Source organism: Homo sapiens, chromosome 3 (genome assembly GCF_000001405.40).
Source record: "Homo sapiens chromosome 3, GRCh38.p14 Primary Assembly".
In the NCBI taxonomy this organism is placed as follows: domain Eukaryota; kingdom Metazoa; phylum Chordata; class Mammalia; order Primates; family Hominidae; genus Homo; species Homo sapiens.
Genome location: NC_000003.12, coordinates 62,345,323 through 62,367,360, shown reverse-complemented (window position 1 = coordinate 62,367,360; position 22,038 = coordinate 62,345,323). Strand labels below are relative to the sequence as shown.

The following is a 22,038-nucleotide window of genomic DNA, read 5'->3' as shown; positions in this document are numbered from 1 at the left end:
TAAAAGAGAGAACGCCTTCCCCACCACTGCCCAGGGAAATAACTCCCTAACCATCAAGTGAGAGAACATTCTTTGAGAAAGTCTGTAATAAGTTTTCACGGAGAGAGACTCCTAGGGTCCCCCATCTCATAAAACTGGAGAAATTTGCTTCCAGGCTTAAAATTCTGAAGAGGGATGGGGGCGTGCTTGCTTGCAAACTAGGCAGCAAATAATATAAAACTCATGCGTAGAGGTGGAGGCATTTCTCTCATGGACTGCTCATCTCTGCAGTGGTGGGGGGAGGAACATTAACTGTAGCTCAGGGGTATAACTGAGTAGAGTTTCTTGCACACTTCAACATCCTTGAGGTTGTTTCCTCATAACTTGATTGTTACTTAACCTTCACACCAGCTTCTGTCAATCGCTCTCACCTGAGAAGGTGTTATTTCACATCTGGTGCTAATTGTAGATAAACAGAGTTCTCTGTATCTATAGGGCTTAGTTCTACTTTCCACAAGTTTGAAGTCACTCCCAGGTTTAAGATGTCGGCTTCCTTCAGGTGTGGGATTCAGGAAAGGATTCCTTCACCTGAAAAGTAGTGTGAGGAGAAAATGAACCTTCTGCCTGAATTACAAAACACCTTTCACAGCCAGCACATGTTCTAAAGCCAACACTAAGCCCTTTCAGTAACCATCTTAGCTATTCATCCTTCTTAGTTACTCACCATGCATCGGAATTGATGGGTGAAAGGCTCTGTTTTCTGATTTTTCTCTCTCTTAATATTAAACTGTTTGCATGACTTGTAGTTTATAATATTAATAAATGACTTAAACAAGGTAGTCATCAGCTACATATTAATATTCTAACCTTGATTAAATTGAAGAGGCTGCCCTTAAAAAATATTTTTAAGAAATCAAATTGCGGGGGAGGGGAATCCTGTCACAGACACAAAAAAGACTCCAATTATCTTTTCCCCTACAAGATGTTTGTTCTGTCCATGACTGCTCACACTTCAGCAATCTTGCCAGCAAGACTCAAAAAAAAAAAAAAAAAAAAACCTTCTTCCAAAGCCACAGCCTCGTACATAACAGATTGTACAGTCCTATTGCCTTAGGCGGGTTAGAGGTTCCTCTCTGCAAAGAGTGACACAGAAAAGTTGCCAACATCCCAGACACATTTTGGGGAGCACTGTGCTCATTCTTGCCTTAGCCGCAGAAGTGGGTCTAGATGGTCCCCATTTTGCTGTTTGGCTCACAAGTGAGTAGGGGGCTGCCTGAGCCAGGTCCAAGAGTTAAAGCAGTAAGGCGTCCAGGTGTGCTGGTGGTGAGTGGGCCGGGGGAGGGAAAGAGGTGATAAGAGGAAGGGTGGGGGGGCTGCCAAAGAGAGGACAGGAGTCTTGAGAAAACGCTGGGAAATAAACAACCTCAAGGCAGCTGCGTTGCCCTTTTCCCTGCACTTCCCTCTCAAACGTCTGAGCAACCAGTTTGCTCCTAGAAACATGTTAATTGCCAACGGAGCTCATTAAGGCATGCACATGCAAAACACAGCAAGAAAGATTAAATGGACAAAAGCGCAATAATGAACTGTCAACAATCGGGCCCATCTACGCGACCAGGATCACTCAAGAATGAGGCATTTAGAGGCAACAAAGGATTGTCTGGGACAGGAAGAAAAGACGACCTAGACTTTTGTTTAGTCAACACAATTGATTACAAATGAGAGATTAACAGGATAGCTTCAGATTTTTTTTAAAAGAGGCAGAAAAGAAAAGTCCAATTAAGTCCACCGAATGTTAACTACATTGCGTTCTATGCCTAGCCCCAAAGAAATTCTCATTAAACCATCCCTGGCGATCCCTTTTGGAAAGTAATTTGTCTCCCTGATGGAGCAGAGAAAGAGAATCGTGTAAAAGAAAGCGTTAGTTCTTGGCACAATGAGCTTAGGAGACACACTAGAAAGAGCCAAAGGGGGAGTTAATGAGCATCTGACAAACTGCTTGGATTCAGGCCTAGAGAACAGCGATGAAAAGATGAAATTGGCCAACAACTATTCTTTATATCAAACATAAAAAGGCCAATCTGAAATGGGGCTGCTCAAAACTGGTTGAAAGTACATAGCCCAAGAAAAGGGAACCATGGCCAGGCCCCTTGGTGGACAGTGGACAGATAGTGTGAAGAACTCAACAGGCCAAGAGTTAGGAAATAAGCAGAAGGGTGGACTGACTCTCCGTGGCAGAGCAAACTCCAGCCACCAGCCCCAGGCCTTTGGAGGTGCTGATTTGAAGCTCTTGGTGCCCATCCCCCACCCTCTGGATGTTTCTTTCATGAGTGAAAAATGAATGTATCAGGCTAGCATTCGAGGGTTCCCCAAAAGTTCTGATAATTTGGTAATTAGCTGCTGGCAATCAGCAAGCCACCCCCCTCTCTTCTAGACCCATAGGCCTCCCAAGGGCACCATATGTTACCAGCTCACATTCAGTTTTTCTACCCTCCTTTGTCCTAGTGACCATTCAAAACCTTCACCCTTAGGTGATTGCCTTCCTAATTCTGCACGGAGCAGAGATGGCAAGGAAATGAAGACATTGATCCTGCCACGGCTTTGTGGAATAGGTCATGAAGCATTCAAATTATTATAGTTGTTCCTCTGGCTTTAAGAAACTACCTCATTTTAATGTTTCCTTTTTTGAACAAAGTAGGTCAACAGTATATGTCTATATGAGATACATATTACATTTTAATTAAACATAAACGTCCAGGCATCCCAACAGCAGAAGTGTTAGAGAGGTTCTTTTACACTTGGTGTTCAGCAGAGCCAGGTAAACAGAAGCTAGAGGTGTGACAGGATTTTTAAGTTTAGTCCATTAGTTAAGCAACCCAGAACAAATTCTCTGGTTTCTTAATGCCTTGTTGATTCCATCATTGAGGTGGATGGGTGCCATCTCAGATACTAGAGTGCAGCATTTAAATCTTGATTCTAGGTTTTGTATTCTTACTCTCAAATCCTTGGTAACAGCTATCACATTTCTGAGGGCTTGGCTTGCACTTCCAGACTTTGCTCATGCTTCATGGAAAAAAATGTATTAGTGTCTAGAAGTTAGAAAGGAGGAAGAAGAAGTATACCAAATTCAAAATAAAAACAGTCATCTAAGATTAGAGACTAGCTCTGGTTTTCAAAGCACAGAAGTGTTACAGAATCAAGAAGGTGTGTTTCAGGAAAGGGAGGTGAAAATGAGACTTTTCTACTGCAGAGAGACCAGAATCTGATACAGTTAATTCTTCACCAAGGCATCCTGTTAAAGCTACATGGCCCAACATGACTGTCATTGTTTCTCTCCTTTCTTCAGTGTTTTTCAGTCCTAGGTCTTATTTGGAGTTATTTTGCCTCAGAAAGTTTCAATGGTGTCCCCAGAGTTTCCAAATGTCCTCACTTTGCCACTGAAGTGGCTGGTGCTTAATTGCCTAAGGAAGGATGGCATGTTATCTCTAAGAAGAAAGGGTGAGTGGCTAGGAGCCTGGAGTCTGGCATAAGAGCAAGCTGAGTTCAAATCTTGTCTCAGCCACTTGCCAGAAAACAACTTTTATCTCTGTGTCTTCATCTGCAAAATGGAAATATTAAGGATACCTATCTCTCAGGGTTGTTGTGAGAGTTAAATGAGTTAACACATACAATTAGAACTGTAGAACAACAACTGGCGTGTATATACTAAGCATTCCAGAGTCCATTATTATTAGAAAAACTCAAGTATTAAAACTTTTATACAACGCTTTATAAAGAAACTACCAGTGTTATCTTGTTGACTCCTCATTACTTTTTTTTTTTTTTTTTTTTTTTTGAGACAGTGTCTTGTCTTGCTCTGTCATCCGGGCTGGAATGTGGTTGCTTGATCATAGCTCACTGCAGCCAAGTGATCCTCCCACCTCAACTTCCTGAGTAGCTGGGACCACAGGCATGTGCCGGCGTGTGCCACCATGCGCCACCATGTGCCACCATGCTCAGCTAATTTTGTAAATGTTTGTAGTGTCTTGCTACATTGCCCAGGCTGGACTTGAACTCCTGGGTTCAGGCAATCCTCCCTCCTCAGCCTCCCAACGTGTTGGGATTAAAGGCGTGAGCCACTGCACCCGGCTTACTACGTATTTATGAGGTAGTTTTCTTAGCCCTATTTTAAAAGGGAGCAAACTGAGTTGCTGAGAGGGTATGACTCCCTTTAGTTCACATAACTGACACACAATAAAGCTGGGACTCACCCTCAGTTGATTGTCTGATAGTGGTGCCACGGTACTAACAGGAATGTACATAAGAATCACATAAACATTTTGCTAAAAATGGAGATTTCTGGACCCCATGAAACTTAGCATTTCATGAGATGCCAAGTCAACAGATCTGGTTTATGGCCCAGGAATCTGCATCTGATCTGATGCAGGTGGTTCCCCAAACTATACTTTGAAAAACACTGATTTGGCACATGTGTTCTTTCCACTTCACCATGGTGCTGCCTTTGAAAGAAAGACGTAAGATGAAATACCATCAGCTCTTCTTAAATTCATACATTTGACATTCACTCAACAAATATGGCTTGAACATCTCTTATGTGTCAGGCAGTCTATTGGGTGCTGAATTTACAAAGAAGAAGAGGAGAGGCCGGGCACTGTGGCTAACGCCTGTAATCCCAGCACTTTGGGAGATCGAGGCGGGCGGATCCTGAGGTCAGGAGATCGAGACCATCCTGGCTAACACGGTGAAACCCCGTCTCTATTAAAAATACAAAAAATCAGCCGGACGTGGTGGCAGGTGCCTGTAGTCCCAGCTACTAGGGAGGCTGAGGCAGGAGAATGGCGTGAGCCCGGGAGGCGGAGCTTGCAGTGAGCCGAGATTGCGCCACTGCACTCCAGCCTGGGTGAAGAGCAAGACTATGTCTCAAAAAAAAAAAAAAAAAAAAATATATATATATATATATATACACACACACATATATATATACACATATATATAGATACACACACACACACATATATATATACATATATATATATATACAGAGAGAGAGAGAGAGAGAGGACATAGCCTCTGCCCTGGAGGGGTTTATAGTTTAGTGGAGGAGAAAAACACATACAACAAAAATCCCCATACAGTGCGTGGTTAAGAAGATGAAATTGGGCATTCAATCTAGTCTGGGTTGGTGTGTGTAGTGGACATCTGTTATTTTTGCCTGCTATAATCATTCTCCCGTCTGGTAATAGCACCCAGTATTTCCTTTGGAAAAACCACCCCTCCCCCATTCTCAGTCCACACGGTTAAGGTGGAAGCTATTCCAGCCCTCCGCATGGGCATGTGATCCAGGCCTGGCCAATCAGAGTGCAGCACCTTCCTGGTCACAGCCAATGGCTCAGAACTGTGCACCTGACCCAAATAGGGCCAATGAGAGTTCTACTCAGGACTTTGCCAGAGCAGAAGTCTTTCTTCTGGGTTGATAAATAGGTTACAGTTAGATGTTAGTCTGGGGATCTGGTGTGCTACAATGTTAGGAAAGACCTTCCTGTGCTGAGAATGTTAGAGGTAGAGCATGAGAAAAGTTGAGACCTGGCCCTTGACCTCGTTGGATCCTGGTATCACTGAAGCCAAATGCACATGTGGACTTATGTATTTGCTTAAATGCAGTCTCTCTGCTCTAACCCTAAGATTCCTGAATGATACTGGGCAGAAGACAGGGAAGTCTAAGATACTCCTCTTGAGGAAGTGATGCTTACGTTGAGATTTCAAAGAGCAGCAAGTGTTCGCTATGGAAGAAAGGAGGAAGAGATATCTCTGAAAACTTAAGTGAAAACACAGAGGCAAAAAAAAAAAAAAAAGACAGGAAGTTGATGGCAACTATATGTGGTTTGACATGGCTGGATTTAGTATTAACAGATCTGACTCTGAAACCTTGCTCTGCTGCTGAGCAGCTGTGGGACACTGGGCTAGAGGTTTGCCCTCTTTAAGCCTCAGGTCCCTCATCTGCAAAATGAGCACAATAACATCTACTGCACAGGACTGTTATGATGATCTAATGCAATAGGACAAGTCTAACACCTGATCCATTGCCAGCATTTAGGTAAGTGACCGCAATTATTATTGCTGGAAGGTGAGGGACCTTACGAGGTAGTGACTGGACAGCATTCTAAATTTCCTGAATAATCCAATGGATTTGACTTCTGGAGCTAGAGATATCTTAGGGCAGAGAGAACAGTTGCTGAGGCCTGACTGTTTCTGAGTGAAGCAGTAGGAGGTAGATGAAACATCATGGGCTTTCGAGTCACATAAGTCAGCTGATTTCAACACTTACCAGCTGCATGACCGTAGGTGATTCCGCTTAACATTCAGAGACCCAGTAGTCTCATCTTTGAAATCTTTAATATTGATAGGGTAGTTTTTAGAAAGATTTTTTTCCAGATATTTCATTTTGTTTTAGATTTGGGGGGTACATGTGCTTGTGTGTTACGTGGGTATATTGCATACTGGTCTGGTAGGATGGGCTTCTAGTATACCTATTACCCAAATAGTGAATGTTGTACCTGATAGGCAATTTTTCGATTCTTGCTCGTCTCCCATCCTCCCACTTTTTGGAGTCCCCAGTGTCTTGTTAGAAGGATTTAAATGACATAAAATGTGCAAAGTACATGGCACATAGATGTTGAATAAATTATAGCTATTTACTCTTATGATTAATTACTACTGCTAATGTTATTACCACTCTAATCTTGGGATACTTGCTTGGCAGAGCAAATAGACTACAGTGTTCTTTAGCAAATAAAATGCTATAAGAACTATAAGGGCAGGAACTATGTCTGCTTTGTTGGCTATGTTGTGTCCTATGCTTGGCATTTAGTGGGTACATTAAATTTAAGAGGTGGATATCAGCTTCCACTCCTCCCCATGGGTGGGAAGGTTACCAAACCCAGTATTATGAATAGCCATGTTGCACTCCATTCTGTAGCACTTTAGTCATAAAACAAATATTTATTGAAGGCTTGGTCTGTGCTGGGCATTGCAGTAGGGACACAACTCTAAAGAAGACAGATTGACCTTGTGGAGCTCACATCCTAATGGTGGGAGACACATGATAAACATGCCAAATAACAAGAAGTAATTTCAGATGATGGTAAACACTAGGAAGGAAATAAAAGAGAGTGACCAGATAGGACATATCTAGGAGAAGGCTACTTTAAATAGGTGGCCGATACCAGTTTTGGTGCAATTTAAGTCCCTGATGCACCCAGGAACTAAGAGAAGCGTCAATACAACTCCAGTTGGCCCCTCAGATTAATCCACTTGGATTTAATAAAAAAGCCTCCCTTCCCCCAGAGCTCCAAATTGCCCATTGGTTGATCCAGCTCAAATCTGCTTTAGGACTCAGAAAAGGAGTTTTTGAGGGTATGCCACAGAAAACAAAGAACATTCCTGGCCAGTGGGTGGAGTAGGCCATTGACCCATATACCATTTTCCCACTGAATGGAATGGTAATTGATCAAAGTAAAAAAATTTATAGAAAGAGATACTGCTGCCATGTTTTTAAACCGTGCATTTCCCAGCCAAGTCTCCAGATGGAATCACCGAAGCAACACATCCTTGACTTAAATGTGACTGTTTAACAGTTATATTGGGTAGGCCATATTTTTCCACAAGGAGGTGGTTGCTTGTCTTAGGAACTTGAGACTCTTAACAGACTTTTGGGTGAGAGCTTTCCAGGATACCACTCTTTCTCTCACACTTCCTGAAGTCACAGAAGTCGGAGACCTAGCTGTAGTGTCAGGAGAAGGGAACGACAGAGTGAACTGTTACACAAGCTCATAGAATGATGAGGTTTGTAGGATGTCTTAGTGCCAATGACTGTCACTAATGAACAATTCCTAAACACAAGGATGATTTATTGTTTGTTTTTGCCTGAGCAGCATCCACTTTCCCTTCTTCTGGTTATCAGCATTCTAATTTGCTTTGGGATAGCTGCCCTTCTTCACTGAACACAGATCACTGGAACTGTTGTGAAGCAATCTGTCCTTCCCCCCATGCCATATCCACTGGCCAAGGAACAGACATGGGACCCAAGCTAGGTCATACAGGTGCTTTCTCTGTTGACCCTTGAGCAGAGGGATAAGACTATAAATAACTGATGCTCATTCATTCCAAGGAGACTGTGAATCAATTTATTTTAAGAAGACTGTGGACCTGTTAGTTACACACCCTGAGTTGCTCTAATTTTTGCCTTTCCAAATCTGGCATTACAACCTTTGTTTTGTTTTATTAGCTGCGCAATAACATTCCAGTGAATTCCTTTTTCACATAAATTGGTCAGTGTTGTCCACTATGGCTTGCCACCAAAGATGCAGATGAGTATAGTCAGCTTCCTTCCATGACCCGCCTTCTCTTTGTAGTCCTGGAACCAGGACACCTCACAGTCAAGATTGGATTTCCCTTTCCAGGATTTTTACTGTCTACCTGAATCCCTCCTTATACTCCTGAGGGTCCTTCAGGCAGCGTGGCTTTTACACATTCAGTGCTCTGCTTTGCTTCTTGAAAAAAAAATTTGGAGGAAGAAAACACTATCCACACCCCATATTTATATTCAGAATAAAAATGTCTTTAGGGTAAGAAGGGCTGACACTGGTCAAACAGCTTAGGAAAGAGAGAAGTTAAAAATATAGCACAACAATAATGGGAGTTAGGATTGTTTTGCTTAGAAAGAGTTCTTAGGAAATAACTTTTTTTTTTTTCTCCCCCCAGCACTCCCATGATGTAGGAACAAGTTGCTAAATGTAGTCTACTAAAAAAGAGAGCATCTCGACCCAGACTTTAGAAAGATAGTTGCCTGAGGCCGGGCGTGGTGTCTCACGCCTGTAATCCCAGCACTTTGGGAGGCCGAGACGGGCGGATCACGAGGTCAGGAGATCAAGACCACCCTGGCTAACACGGTGAAATCCCGTCTCTGCTAAAAATACAAAAAATTAGCCGGGCATGGAGGTGCGCACCTGTAGTCCCAGCTACTCAGGAGGCTGAGGCAGGAGAATGGCATGAACCCAGGAGGTGGAGCTTGCAGTGAGCCGAGATTGCGCCACTGCACTCCAGCCTGTGGGACAGAGCAAGATTGTGTCTCAAAAAAAAAAAAAAAAGAAAGAAAGAAAGAAAGATAGTTGCCTGAGGCCAAGCAGTGAGATGGGAGGAAGGCTAGCTTCCAGAGTCTGAGTTTAGAAGTCTTTGCTTTGTTAACTGAACACAGATCCTACAACCTTGTACATTTGGGGAAGAAGTTTTCTGTATCTATCCTTTGTTCTTTTCCAAAAGTGAGTACATATTTCAATAAGGTTGTCCCATATATTTAATAAGATTCCATATATTCAAATAAAGATGCCGTATATTCAATAAAGTTATTAGTATAAATAGAAAACAAGGTTACAAATAAGAGAAAAATACGGTAGCTACAGAGATTACTGAAAGAGAAGCCTGGTTCAATAGACATTGAGTCTCCTAAGGCCTAAGATGAACAAGGAAAGGACAATGGATTATATCGTACTGTTGATCTTTAAGAGACATCAGAAAACAAACACAACTTCCTTGATCAGATTTTCTTTCAAGTTACCTCTTCAACCTTAAATGTTGTGAAGTATGTGTTCATAAGCTCTCGTATAGGCTCATAAGTCTTAACCTATAAGATCAAGTTCTCATAGGCTAGCACCAGTTGTGTTGCCTAATAACAACTAGAAGCTGCCAGACAACTTCAGTCATGACACAGTTTGTGGAAAAAGAAATGAAGGAAATCAAAGCTCTCTGATTATTGTGACTGATTCATAAAAATGCATGACTTTTAGTAAAATTGCCCTCTTGGCCAAAATTTTCTCTCACATAAATTTCTCATATCTTATACATCTATAATCAAATTTGCAGGGTTTCTCTGGGGATGAAGGCAGAGCAGAGTTGGAGGTTCTGCCTGAGCCAGCGTAAACATGGGATTTAAGCTGTAGGTCTAGGATTAATTTGAAGAAGACGCACAAGGTCTCTACGGTTTTCTCTCAAATCTATAAAATTGACATAAGTCAACTATCTACTGCATAGGAATATTGTGTTGTAAAAGAACGTACTGATGTTTGCAATTGCATCCCTCGGGGGTGCTTTGTAGAACTCACAAGTGGCTGCTCTAAGCTTAAAGTACTCATCACATCACTTCTGGTTAGATCAAGGGAAATGAATGGCTTTGGAAGTCAGTGTTATATATTCTGTCCTCTGGGAAAATAAATGCCAAAGTGTCTGCTAGAAAAAAGAGATTTGGGAGTTTTCAGTTTTCCCTATGAGCCCTTTAATGGGGGCTGATTTCCTCCTTAGTTTGTTTCCCACCCCTAGTGTTTTGAGGTGAGCCCAAGGAGTGAAAATCCTTCTCCCTCCTCTACCTCACTTTTCCTGTGGCTGGCTGGCTACCTCTCCTCCTCGGAGTATAGGGTACTAAGAAGAGCTTTTCCTGAAAAGGAGGGAGTTAAATAATACTAATTGTAGTAACACTTGGGATAGTTTATCTTACAAAGAGGCTTACTTTAGAAAGAGCCTTTGTCTCCCCTTACTTCACATCATTTTCCTAGATTTCCTTTCTTCTTCCTCCATCCTTCTCCTTACTCATTCCACATTTCTTTCATTCTTTTCCTTCACAGTACTTATCACAAGTCATATATTTCCTTATTCCTTTGTTTGCTTCCCAAGTACATTGGAAGTACCACAGGGCAGGGGCTTGTTGTCAGCAGTGTATTTCCAATGCCAAGCTCATGCCTGGCACCTTGTAGGCACTTAACAAATCTAGGCTGGAGGTACAAATAAAGTGATGTGTTGAAAATGATTTGCAAGGTTCAGATGGTGGCTGTCACTGGCTCTGTGCTTTCACTCAAGCTGGGGAGTAGAAACTCAAATCAACAGAACTCATATTCTATCATAACTATCACTTATTTGGCACTTGCAATACATGAGGAGTTTTATGAACATTATTTCTAATTCTCCCACACCTGCAAGGCACATGTCATCATTTCAGGTGGGGGAAAACAGAGGCTCTCAAAGTGTCAGTTTAGCCACAGCTGTTACTGGCTGAGTAGGCATTTGAAGACAACTCCGACCCACCCCCATGATGTTGTCTTCTCATAATGTCGTCTTCCCTTCTGAACATGGCCAGATTCAATGCATCCACAACAAATAGTTCAACACTACTCCCTTCCAAATGCCCCATGCCAGCTGTTTTTCTTCAAAACTTACTGTTTTTTAAAATCTATAGTTCTCTTATGATGTCTGACATTTTGTCTACCTTAGGTCATCAGTTTCATATTCAGGTCCCTTTACTATCCTGGTCGAGCTCCAGCTTATAGCTACAGTCTCATCCTATCTTCCTCTCTCTCTCTGCATGTTTTGTGGACCAGCTGTACTGGTTTCTTTCTCTCCTTGTAACAAGCCACATCCTTTTGTTTCCTGGGGCCCTTGAACATGCAGTTCCGTCCCTTTGATATACTTCTCCCCAACTTTATATTTAGCTAGAGCTAGCTCCTCTGCATCTCTTAAGACTCGCCTCAAATGTCACCTCCTCAGGGAAGTTTTATTTGATGCTCCTACACAAAGTAAACTTCCCCATACACTCCTCTCACCCCATCTCTCATTATTCAAGTGCCTGAGTTTTTGTTTTTGTTTTTTGTAGCCTTATCACAGTAGAAATTCTTTTTTTGTGGGTTGTTTTACTTGTTTTTTTTTCTTTCTTTCCCACTAGGATATAACGTCAACGAGGACCAGGATTGTGTCTGTCATGATTATTAGTGTACTCTTAGCACCTAAGTATGTGGCTCAGCACAGTACTTGAATCACAGTAGATGTGCAGTCAATCTTTGTTGAGAAATATTGGATCGTGTCACTCTTCCATTCAAAACACTCCAATGCTTTACCATTTACCACTCAGAGTAAAAGGCTTACTGTGACTTGCAAGACCCTCACCCCCATCCCTTCAAATGAATGTCTCTGAGCGCACCTACTTTCTTCCTCTTCTCTACTCCAATTATGCTGGCCTCCTCATGTTCTTCTCACATGCCAAGCACATTCCTGCCTCGGGACCTTTGCATTTGCTGTGCCTTCTTTGGAACCCTTTTCCCTACGGATCATCCTTCTCTTCCTTCATGTCTTTGCTCAGATCTTGCCCTTTGAGATCTTGGCAGGCTTTCCTCTACCAATCTACTCCTCTACAGATCTGTTTGAAATATGAAATCTACCCTGATGGCACGTTCCTTCTCTCTCTCTCCCCTCCCACACATACACTCCCTGTCCCCCTCCCCTGCTTTATTGATTATCTTTCTCCAGCTACTAGAGTGTAAGCTTCGTGAAGGCAGGGATCTTTATACATTCTTTTCACTTCTGCATTCCTCAGATCCCAGAATAGTACCCAACACATAGTGAGTGTTCAGTAAATATTTCATGAACGACTGTCTTGTCCCTTCTGATCTGCCCCATTGCTTTTCATAGCCTCCAGAGTCCCAGCAGGTCTTCATTTAATAACATTTCAAAGAGTGAAAAAGCCTGACAATAGATGTTAAATATGGCATTTTCATTTTATTTTATTTTGAGATGGAGTCTTGCTCTGCTGCCTAGGCTGGAGTGCAATGGCGTGATCTCTGCTCTCTGCAACCTGGGTTCAAGTGATTTTCCTGTCTAGTATAGCCTCTCAAGCAACTGGGATTACAGGCACGCACCACCGTGCCCAGCTAATTTTTTGTATTTTTAGTAGAGATGGAGTTTCACCATGTTGGCCAGGCTGGTCTCGAACTCCTGACCTCAAGTGATACACCTGCCTTGGCCTCCCAGAGTGCTGGGATTACAGGCATGAACCACTATGCCTGGCCTAAATATGATCCTTTCAAAGAGTATACTAGACACACCTCATTAAATTGGAGAAGACCTTCAGCAAACACCTGCAGGGCTTTCAGAGAAAATTTAAGCCTGAAATAATGCTGTAAAAGCTTTAGCTTTTTGCTTTCTGTTGTCATTGATGAGTCTGGCTGATCATCAGTTAAACAAAATAATGTCTTCTCTCGCCATCTTTTTTCTCCCCTCATGGCTGATGTCTCTTATGATTTCCCCTCTGCAGACCCACAGTTTCTTTTCGATAGATTATCCCTGGGCTAAGGAGCTGGCTTCTGAAGGCGGGGCAATTCTAGCAATCCTTGAGTTGTATAAACTTTTGGATTCACTCTACCCTTACGAGGGAAAACAAAAAGCGATCAGAAAGAGTTGGAGATGTTTAAATAATCTCCTTTCAAATTCTTCTAAAATTCAAATGTTATAATAAGAAGAGTGACAAGTATAGAATGAATTTATGAAGGCCTCTTCCAACTTTATTCATCCTAATCCAAAAGCTGCATTTCAAGGGTTATTGAAATCGTATGACTTTTAATAACTTCCGGTCATAAGGAACGGGATGGTGTCTGCTTATGTGCCAGCTGGGCTCTGTGATTCCACCATATTAGGCAGAGTTGTCTGAGTGTTTCGTCTTTATTTATTATTATTTTTTAAGAAGGAGCCCCTTTTGGTGTCTACAACTTTTTCTTTTTGTAGAACCCTCAGGACCCTTTCCTCCACCCTTTGCATTCTTCCTCCTGTGTGCTCTGCCAACACCTTCAGCTTCTCTCCACGGGAGCACTTACAAGCCTCCACTACACTTGCCTGTTTCCTCTTCATGGCCTACCCTCATCTATGAGCTTCTTGACCAGGAATGGTAGGGGTTCAAAAAAATTCATGGAAAAAAGCTAATGAATATAATTTTTTCCTTCTTTTTCTTTCATGAGTGATTTGGGTTGCTAACTTTTACTTGACCTAAATGTGCGTCACACTGTCACTACTCTTCTTAGGTAATTGATGACCGTATAATGTCTCATTTCAACTTTTTAGGATATTTTTAGACAAAAATGCAAGCAGAATCTGTACTTATCTAATTGCCCTGATTTTTTTTATTTTTTGAAACAATATGTTAGCACAATTTAAATACTTCTGAAGGAGTCCTGATAAAGAATTTCTTCTTTGTTTTATAAAGTATGAAAAGTTACATTTTTTAAGGATTAAAGATTTAAAAGCCATGAGTTTCTGTGAAAACTCATCTTTTGTTAGTCTCAAATGCCCCAAAAGCCAAATAATTTCTAAATCCTGCTCCAGAATTTGCTTCTGTTCAGCAGTTAGACTGATCAATTTTCAGAAATTGTAGGAGAAAAAAATAAATTCTGCCTCCAAATGATGTTTATAATCTCATATCTAAATTAAAACATGTCGATTCCACAGCAATAGTCACTATGGAAATAGAAACATATAGGCCTCGATTCTAAATCAAGAGAGTGTTTAGCTGGGTGGTATATATTTTCCATCATGTTTTTAAAAAATCTGTTACAGTGTATGCATTTTCAAAGGTCTGGATTTGATAAGCTTTTAAGAAATAGTACATGTATGGGTCAAATTAGAATTAAATGTACTTGTATGGTTTCAAATGTGGTTTATAATGTCCTGCCACATTAATGAAAATCCCATTGAATTATTAAACTTACTTTATGGGATTTTTAAAAATAAAGCAAAAGTACATTTGAAATAAATCCATGGAAGCCTCCATAGAAGGCAGATATGCCTAAACTTTATCTCCTTTCAAATTCTTCTAAAATTCAAATGTTCTATTAAGAATACTGATAAGTATAGAATGGATTTTTAAAGAGTTTAAATAGAATTGCCACTCACATCTCAATTTACACCTAATTATCAAGCTTAATTTAGTTTTAGAAACTGTTTAAAAATATATTTGCTAGTTTTAAAAATTGTCAGCTTAAAAAAACCCCAAAGGTAATAATAGAAATAATTTATTCTAAAGTTGTATCATGCAAAAAAGGACTTTAAACTTATTTAGAAGTTTTAGAAGTTAAAAAAGGCTTTTTCTCCCTATTCAGATGGATAAACAACATATTTTTATCCTTTTAAACTTTTTTTCTGGCAATTAGTGAACAAATATTCCTTCAACTAATATCTGTGTGCCTACTATGTGCCAGCCAATGTTCTAAAATCGAATGCCACTTCCCAAATCATAGAAAACAAACATATGCTGTGATCATTTTGCTTTAAATATCATAAGCCAAGCGTATAACTCTTTTACATAAAATATATAATTATTCTCATTTTAAAATTACATAGTTCCTTTCTTTCAAGGAGCTCAAGATGTTTCTAGAGTCAAAACACATTATCTTCACATTATCCCCCTGAAAATGGAAACCAAGTCCTACCTACCTTTTCTTCCACCAGGCATGCTTTTCTAAAAATTAGAAATGGAAAGGAGTAATTATACAGTCCTTGGTGAAGACAGAGTGATACAGCAATTCTGCTAGTTCTTTGCCCAGTAATTGCTCATCAGTTGCAGAAGGAGAGTGGCCTAATCTCTCCTTTACCATAAAAAGATCTGTTGTCAATATTCAATTTTCTTTTTATCCTGTCTCTCCAGGTATTAGAGCAGCATCTCTCTCTGCTGATACTTAAGTTCAGAAATTGCCTACTTATACATACTGTGCAGTACCATGTAATGAAATATGTAGGTCGACCCATCTTGTGTATGTGTTCAGAACTTTAGCCATTTGGACATCCTTGTAAGAGTATAGCTTGTCTCATAATTGGCCAGAATGCCAAACTCTTCCTCAGTAGGAGCTGACAATCTTATAATCATGCCTTCAAACGCATTGAGGATAATGATGAGTGAAATTCAGATGTGTGAGATTTTTTCCCTCCCCCTTGTTCTAATAGGGTTAACTGAGTCATCATTCTACTTGTCCATCTTTTTTGCTCTTTCTATTGACTTCATTTGCCAAAGTACCCCTAAACTTTTCAGAGACCTGTGCCATTAGGATCTTTCCTTGATACTTTATCAACTCATACAGTTATCTGTTTGTTTTTGAGACCGTGTCTACCTGTGTCTCCCAGGCTGGAGAGCAGTGGTGCAATCTCGGCTCACTGCAACCTCCGCCTCCCAGGTTCAAGCTATTCTCCTGCCTTAGCCTCCCGTGTAGCTGGGACTACAGGCACAGACCACTGCACCCGGCTGATTTTTGTATTTTTAGTAGAGACAGCGTTTCACCATGTTGGTCAGGCTGGTCTCAAACTCCTGACCTCAAGTGATCCACCCACCTTGGCCTCCCAAAGTGCTGGGATTACAGGAGGGAGCCACCATGCCTGGCCATTTTTTTGTTTTTGAATTGAAATGACCAGCTGTTTGAGAGTTAAACAGATCCACTCTCTGTTTCATATCACAAATTGCTTAACAAATAAGGATTTGAAGTTTTGCCTGAAATTCTACAAAGTGAATGTATCATTTAGAGCTCTTAGCTGCAAGTAACATGCAAGTGGCTTAACAATAAGGAAACTGATCATTTCATATTACTAGAAACCCAGAAGTAGGGGCCTCAAGTCTGTTTCTGTGTTCTCTTAGACTGGCCATCCTCTGTGTGAGGTTATCCTCGAGGCTGGTAGAAAGATACTGCAGGAGTTCTGGCCTCGTATGCAGCTCTGAGAATGTCCAGGTGAATAAAGTATTCTGTTTCTTTGGAGCAAGAAAACGTTTTCCAGAAACGCTCTTTGCCAACTTACTCTTCTGTTTCATTGGCCAGAATTTTATCACATGTTTAGTCCTAAATCAATCAATGGCAAGGAGAAGGGGATTAGCATGACTGGTTTAGATGAGTTGGTTTGTAGCTCCTGGAACTATCAATTGGGATGGAGCAGCTTCCCTGGAGCACTCAATGTCTTAGAAAAAGATGATATGTGAATAAAATTTTGTTGCAGTTAAGTAAGGGGAAGGTGAGTAGTAAGGATGTTAGATAACCAGCCAATGGTTTCTGCTACATAGGGTTTTAGGAAAGAGGGCAAGAAAGGTATTCACAAATTCACAAATTCACAAAAAGTGACCTTTTAGAACCAATGGACATGTTTCCCCCATTAGCAAAAGAAAGGTAGAGAGTGATATATTTATTTTTTGAACTAGAGGGTTCTTTTTAAAATCTAAATCTCAGCACAATACAAACACTGGGTATAGATAGATTGATTTAATGTTGGAAATTCCCACTTAGTGTAAAAATAGAATTTGCCTTTTAAAAAATTTTGGGTTATACAGTTAACTTGCTTTGTAAATCAGCAACTGTAAGTAACAACAGAAATAAAGCATTTAACAACCTTTGTGTCCAAAGTTCAAAATATTATCAATGGGGAGAATTAATTAGCTGAAGTCATCTACATACACTTTGTAATTTGTTTTCCTCTAAATTTAATTTGACATTTAGATTAAACTCAGATTTTGAAAAAAAAAGTCTTTGATGCTGCTTGGCATATCTTTGTACTACATTATGTGTTGCCGCAGAATTTACAAGATCAACATTTAGATGTCACCAGAGAGACATACATCCTTGTACTGTGATAGACATTATCAGGCACTCCCAAAGTAGCAGCAGCTATTTACATTGAACTTAAATAGACAACTATGGAAATGTCAAGAAGCATTACATTTTTGGAAGTTGGAAACAGAATTAGGCTTTCTGTTTTGAATTTGCATTCAAGTGACCAAAAAGTGTCTTTTGTGTTACAGTGATTTTGTATGAGCAGAGCAGAGACAGAGGTAGCTAGCATCTCAAACCATACATCACAAGGCTTTAGTGCATCATGAAATCAACCTGGGCTTATTATTAGCATTTTTTCTTCTATTATTTAATTTAAAAAGATACATAAAATATCAGAGGGCATTGTACATAAAGTAGGTTCATTTCGTTTGAACTTAATTTTATTTATTTTTATTTTTATTTTTTTGAGACAGAGTTTCACTCTTGTCACCCAGGCGGAGTGCAATGGCGAGATCTCAGCTAACTGCAACCTCCACCTTCCGGGTTCAAGTGATTCTCCTGCCCCAGCCTCCCAAGTAGCTAAGATTATAGGCATGCGCCACCACGCCCGGCTAATTTTGTGTTTTTAGCAGAGGCGAGGTTTCACCATGTTGGCCAGGCTGGTCACGAACTCCTGACCTCAGGTGATCCACCTGCCTCGGCCTCCCAAAGTGCTGGGATTACAGGCATGAGCCACTGTACCCGGCTGTGATCTTAATTTTTTTTTTTTTTTTTTGGAGACAGGGTCTCACTCTGTCACCCAGTCTAGAGTTCAGTGGCATGTTCTCAGCTCACTGCAAGCTCCACCTTCTGGGTTCAAGCAATTCTCCCACCTCAGCCTCCCAAGCAGCTGGGATTACAGGCACGCCCCACCACGCTTGGTTAATTTTCTGTATTTTTAGTAGAGATGGGGTTTCCCCATGTCGGCCAGGCTGGTCTTGAACTCCTGGGCCCCAAGTGATCCACCCATCTCAGCCTCCCAAAGTGCTGGGATTACAAGTGTGAGCCACCAAACCTGGCCAAACTTAATTTTATATTATAAAAATTTCAAGCATATACAGAATTAGAGAGAATAGTTTAATGAACTCCCACATACCCATCGCCCAGATCAAATAATTAAGTTTTTACCGCATTAGCGTTTTCACATTAGCTTGTTTTTTTTTCTTTTATGAAATATATTTTAAAGGGAATCCCAAATATTACATCATTTCTCACCATAAACTTTGCATGTATCTTTAAAAAGTATAAACATTTAAAAAAAAACCACAGTGTAATTATTATGATCACTAGTGAAAATAATAGGCCAGGTGTGCAGTGGCTCACACCTGTAATCCCAGCACTTTGGGAGTATTGCTTGAGGCCAGGAGTCTGAGGCCACCCTGGACAACATAGTGAGACCCTGTATCTACAAAAATATTTTAAAAATTCACCAGGCATGGTGATACATGCCTGGAGTCCCAGCTTTCAGGAGGCTGAGGCAGGCGGATTGCATGAGCCCAGGAGTTTGAGATTGCAGTGAACCATGATCCCCCCATTGCACTCTAGCCTGGGCAACAGAGCGAGACCTCATTTTAAAAAATTAAGAATTATTATTTGATTTAATGTGATATCTAATCTGTATTCCAGTTTCCCAAATTGACTCTTCTTAAAAATCTTTTTACAGGTTTTTGTTTTGGTTTTCGTTTGTTTGTTTGTTTTTGTTTTTGAGATGGAGTCTTGCTGCAGTGGTGCGATCTTGGCTCACTGAAACCTCCACCTCCCAGGTTCAAGCTATTCTCCCACCTCAGCTTCCTGAGTAGCTGGGATTACAGGCACATGCCACCACACCCACCTAATTTTTGTATTTTTAGTAGAGACGGGGTTTCACCATGTTGGCCAGGATGGTCACGAAATCCTGAGCTCAGGTAATCTGCCTGCCTCAGCCTCCCAAAGTGCTGGGATTAAAAAGTGCTGGGATTACAGGCATGAGCCTCCACACCCGGCCCAGTGGTCCTATTTGAAAGACAAAACTTGTTTTATTTATATATCTTTCTATATGTCTGTTTGTGGCAAGTCACAGTTGAAATAGATTTCTTAATGTGGCTTGCAGTCAAAAACATTTTAGGAAGTCATTGCTGAAGGCATTGACAAATTTTGGCTCAGGAATTGGGAACAAACTTTTCCTCTTGTAGATACACAGCTTCTACTGATGTCAAAAAAGATACAATAAGGTATAAATTTCAGCAATCAACTGCTTGTTTCTTTTGTGTGGAGCTAAAGAAATGCTTTGACATTATTTTAAATTAGAATTTTCTTATGAATACACAGCTATTCATTCTTAGTGGCTATTAATTTGACTATTTGTGGTACTTTATTAAGTAACTAAAGACTAGGCACTTTACTAGAGAAGATGCAGTCTCAATTTTAAGAATGTCATCTTCAAACAGAATGGATTTAGAGCTTTGTCTGCCACTGAAATAGCATTATGTGGGGCAAAATGTCAAGGTCAAGTGTTTAGGTATGTGCTTGATTTATATTCTATTCATCTTCCTCTAGGTCAACAAATTAGAGAACAGCCAGAAATTTTAAAAAGTTTTTTTTAGGAACTGCTTTTTGTTTTGTTTTTTGAGATGGAGTCTCACTCTGTCACCTCAGTGGTGCAGTTTTGTCTCACTGCAACCTCCACCTCCCAGGCTCAAGTGATTCTCCCGCCTCAGCCTCCCAAGTAGCTGGGATTACAGGCGCCCACCACCATGCCCAGCTAATTTTTGTATTTTTAGTAGAGACGGGGTTTCACCATGTTGGCCAGGCTAGTCTCAAAACTCCTGACCTCAGGTGATTTGCCGGCCTAGGCCTCCCAAAGTGCTGGGATCACAGCCGTGAACCACTGTGCCTGGCCTAGGAACTGTGTTTTTAAAGGTCCATTAAAATATCAGCATTGTGTATTTTCAGCCACAGGACATTTGCATATGCTTTTCCAACTGTCAATAATTAACTTCCTTACCCATTGCCACTTCTCTAAGTTTTTCCTTTTCTTCCTTTAAACCTCAATCGCCCCTTCCCCAGCAAAACCTTCCCTGACCTTCCTAAGTCATATTCCCCCATTATGTGCTTCAACCATCATGGGCCACTCCTTTATAAAACTTATTGGTGTTGCATTTCTACATTTCTCTGTTGCAGTAACTCAACTAATATCTATTTCCCTTCCATTGTAAGCTCCATGAGAGTGGGGATTGTCTTTTCTTATCATCCAGCCTCAGCACCTAACACAGTTGAACTCAACAAATATTTGATGAATTAATGAAGTGCTGACTAGTGGACTGAATGCTGTCACTTGTAAAGCAGTTAAATATGCAGGTTGACAATATCTTTTTCTTTTTCTTTTTTCTTTTTTTTGAGACCAAGTCAGTACTCTGTCACCCAGGCCGGAGTACAGTGGCCAATCTCTGCTCACTGCAACCTCCGCCTCCCAGCCTCAAACAATTCTCCTGCCTCAGCCTCCCAAGTAGCTGGGAGTACAGGCATGCACCACCACACTTGGCTAATTTTTGTATGTTTTAGTACAGGCAGGGTTTCACCATGTTGTTCAGGCTGGTCTCGAGCTCCTGATCTCAAGTGATCTGCCCACCTTGGCCTCCCAAAGTGCTGGGATTACAGGAGTGAGCGAGCCACCATGCCTGGCCTGACAATATCTTTATTTTATTTATTTATTTATTTTGAGATGTAGTCTTGCTCTGTTGCCCAGGCTGGAGTGCAATGGCAAAATCTCTACTCATTGCAAGCTCCACCTCCCTGGCTCAAACAATTCTCCTGCCTCAGCCTCCCCTCCCGAGGAGCTGGATTACAGGCCTCCCACCACCACGCCCAGCTAATTTTTGTATTTTTAGTAGAGACGTGGTTTCACCATGTTGACCAGGCTGGTTTCGAGCTCCTGAACTCAAATGATCCACCCACCTTGGCCTCCCAAAGTGCTGGGATTACAGGCGTGAGCCACCGAGCCTGGCGACAATATCTTTATAATTAACCATCATTGTCTTTCTTTCCATTTAATTTTTTAATCCCAAGATTCCAAAGAAGTAGGTCATGAGTAATTTATTACATGCCATAGTTAGTCTGTTGTTTTTTATGATGTTTAAAATAATCTGGCTTTAGTGGGGCAAGTTTTATAAATTGTGACAGGGGCTTATAGATAATGACTGTTTTGCAAGGCTACAAGAGAACTCAATGGTTTAATATGTATTTTAGGCCAGGAGTGGTGGCTCACACCTGTAATCCCAGCACTTTGGGAGGCTGAGGCGGGCGGATCACTTGAGGCCAGGAGTTTGGGACGAGCCTGGCCAAAATGGTGAAACTTTGTCTCTACTAAAAATACAAAAAATTAGCCAGGCATTTTGGCTTGTGTCTGTAGTCCCAGCTACTTGGGAGGCTGAGGCACAAGAATCGCTTGAACGTGGAAGGCAGAGGTTGCAGAGAGCTGAGATCCCACCAATGCATTCCAGCCTGGGTGACAGAGCGAGACTCTCTCAAACAAACAAACAAAAAAAGGTGTATTTTTAAAAATGGGTAAGCTACTGAGAAACTTCTTATCATTCTCAAAGCTATGATGTATATTAGAGACATGGATGAATGGTGTGGAGTCATTGGATAAAGTCCATAA

The 22,038-nt window shown here is 41.0% G+C and overlaps 2 annotated features.

Moving 5' to 3' along the window:
• Positions 1,318-2,310: an enhancer, noted in NCBI's record as "VISTA enhancer hs434". NCBI's record gives its function as "enhancer in: forebrain[4/4]" and the evidence as "EXISTENCE:transgenic organism evidence [ECO:0001131][PMID:17130149]".
• Positions 5,173-5,467: an enhancer, noted in NCBI's record as "tiled region #9750; HepG2 Activating non-DNase unmatched - State 22:ReprW, and K562 Activating non-DNase unmatched - State 24:Quies". NCBI's record gives its function as "activates a minimal TATA promoter and a strong SV40 promoter by Sharpr-MPRA in HepG2 and K562 cells {active_cell/tissue: HepG2 | K562}" and the evidence as "EXISTENCE:reporter gene assay evidence [ECO:0000049][PMID:27701403]".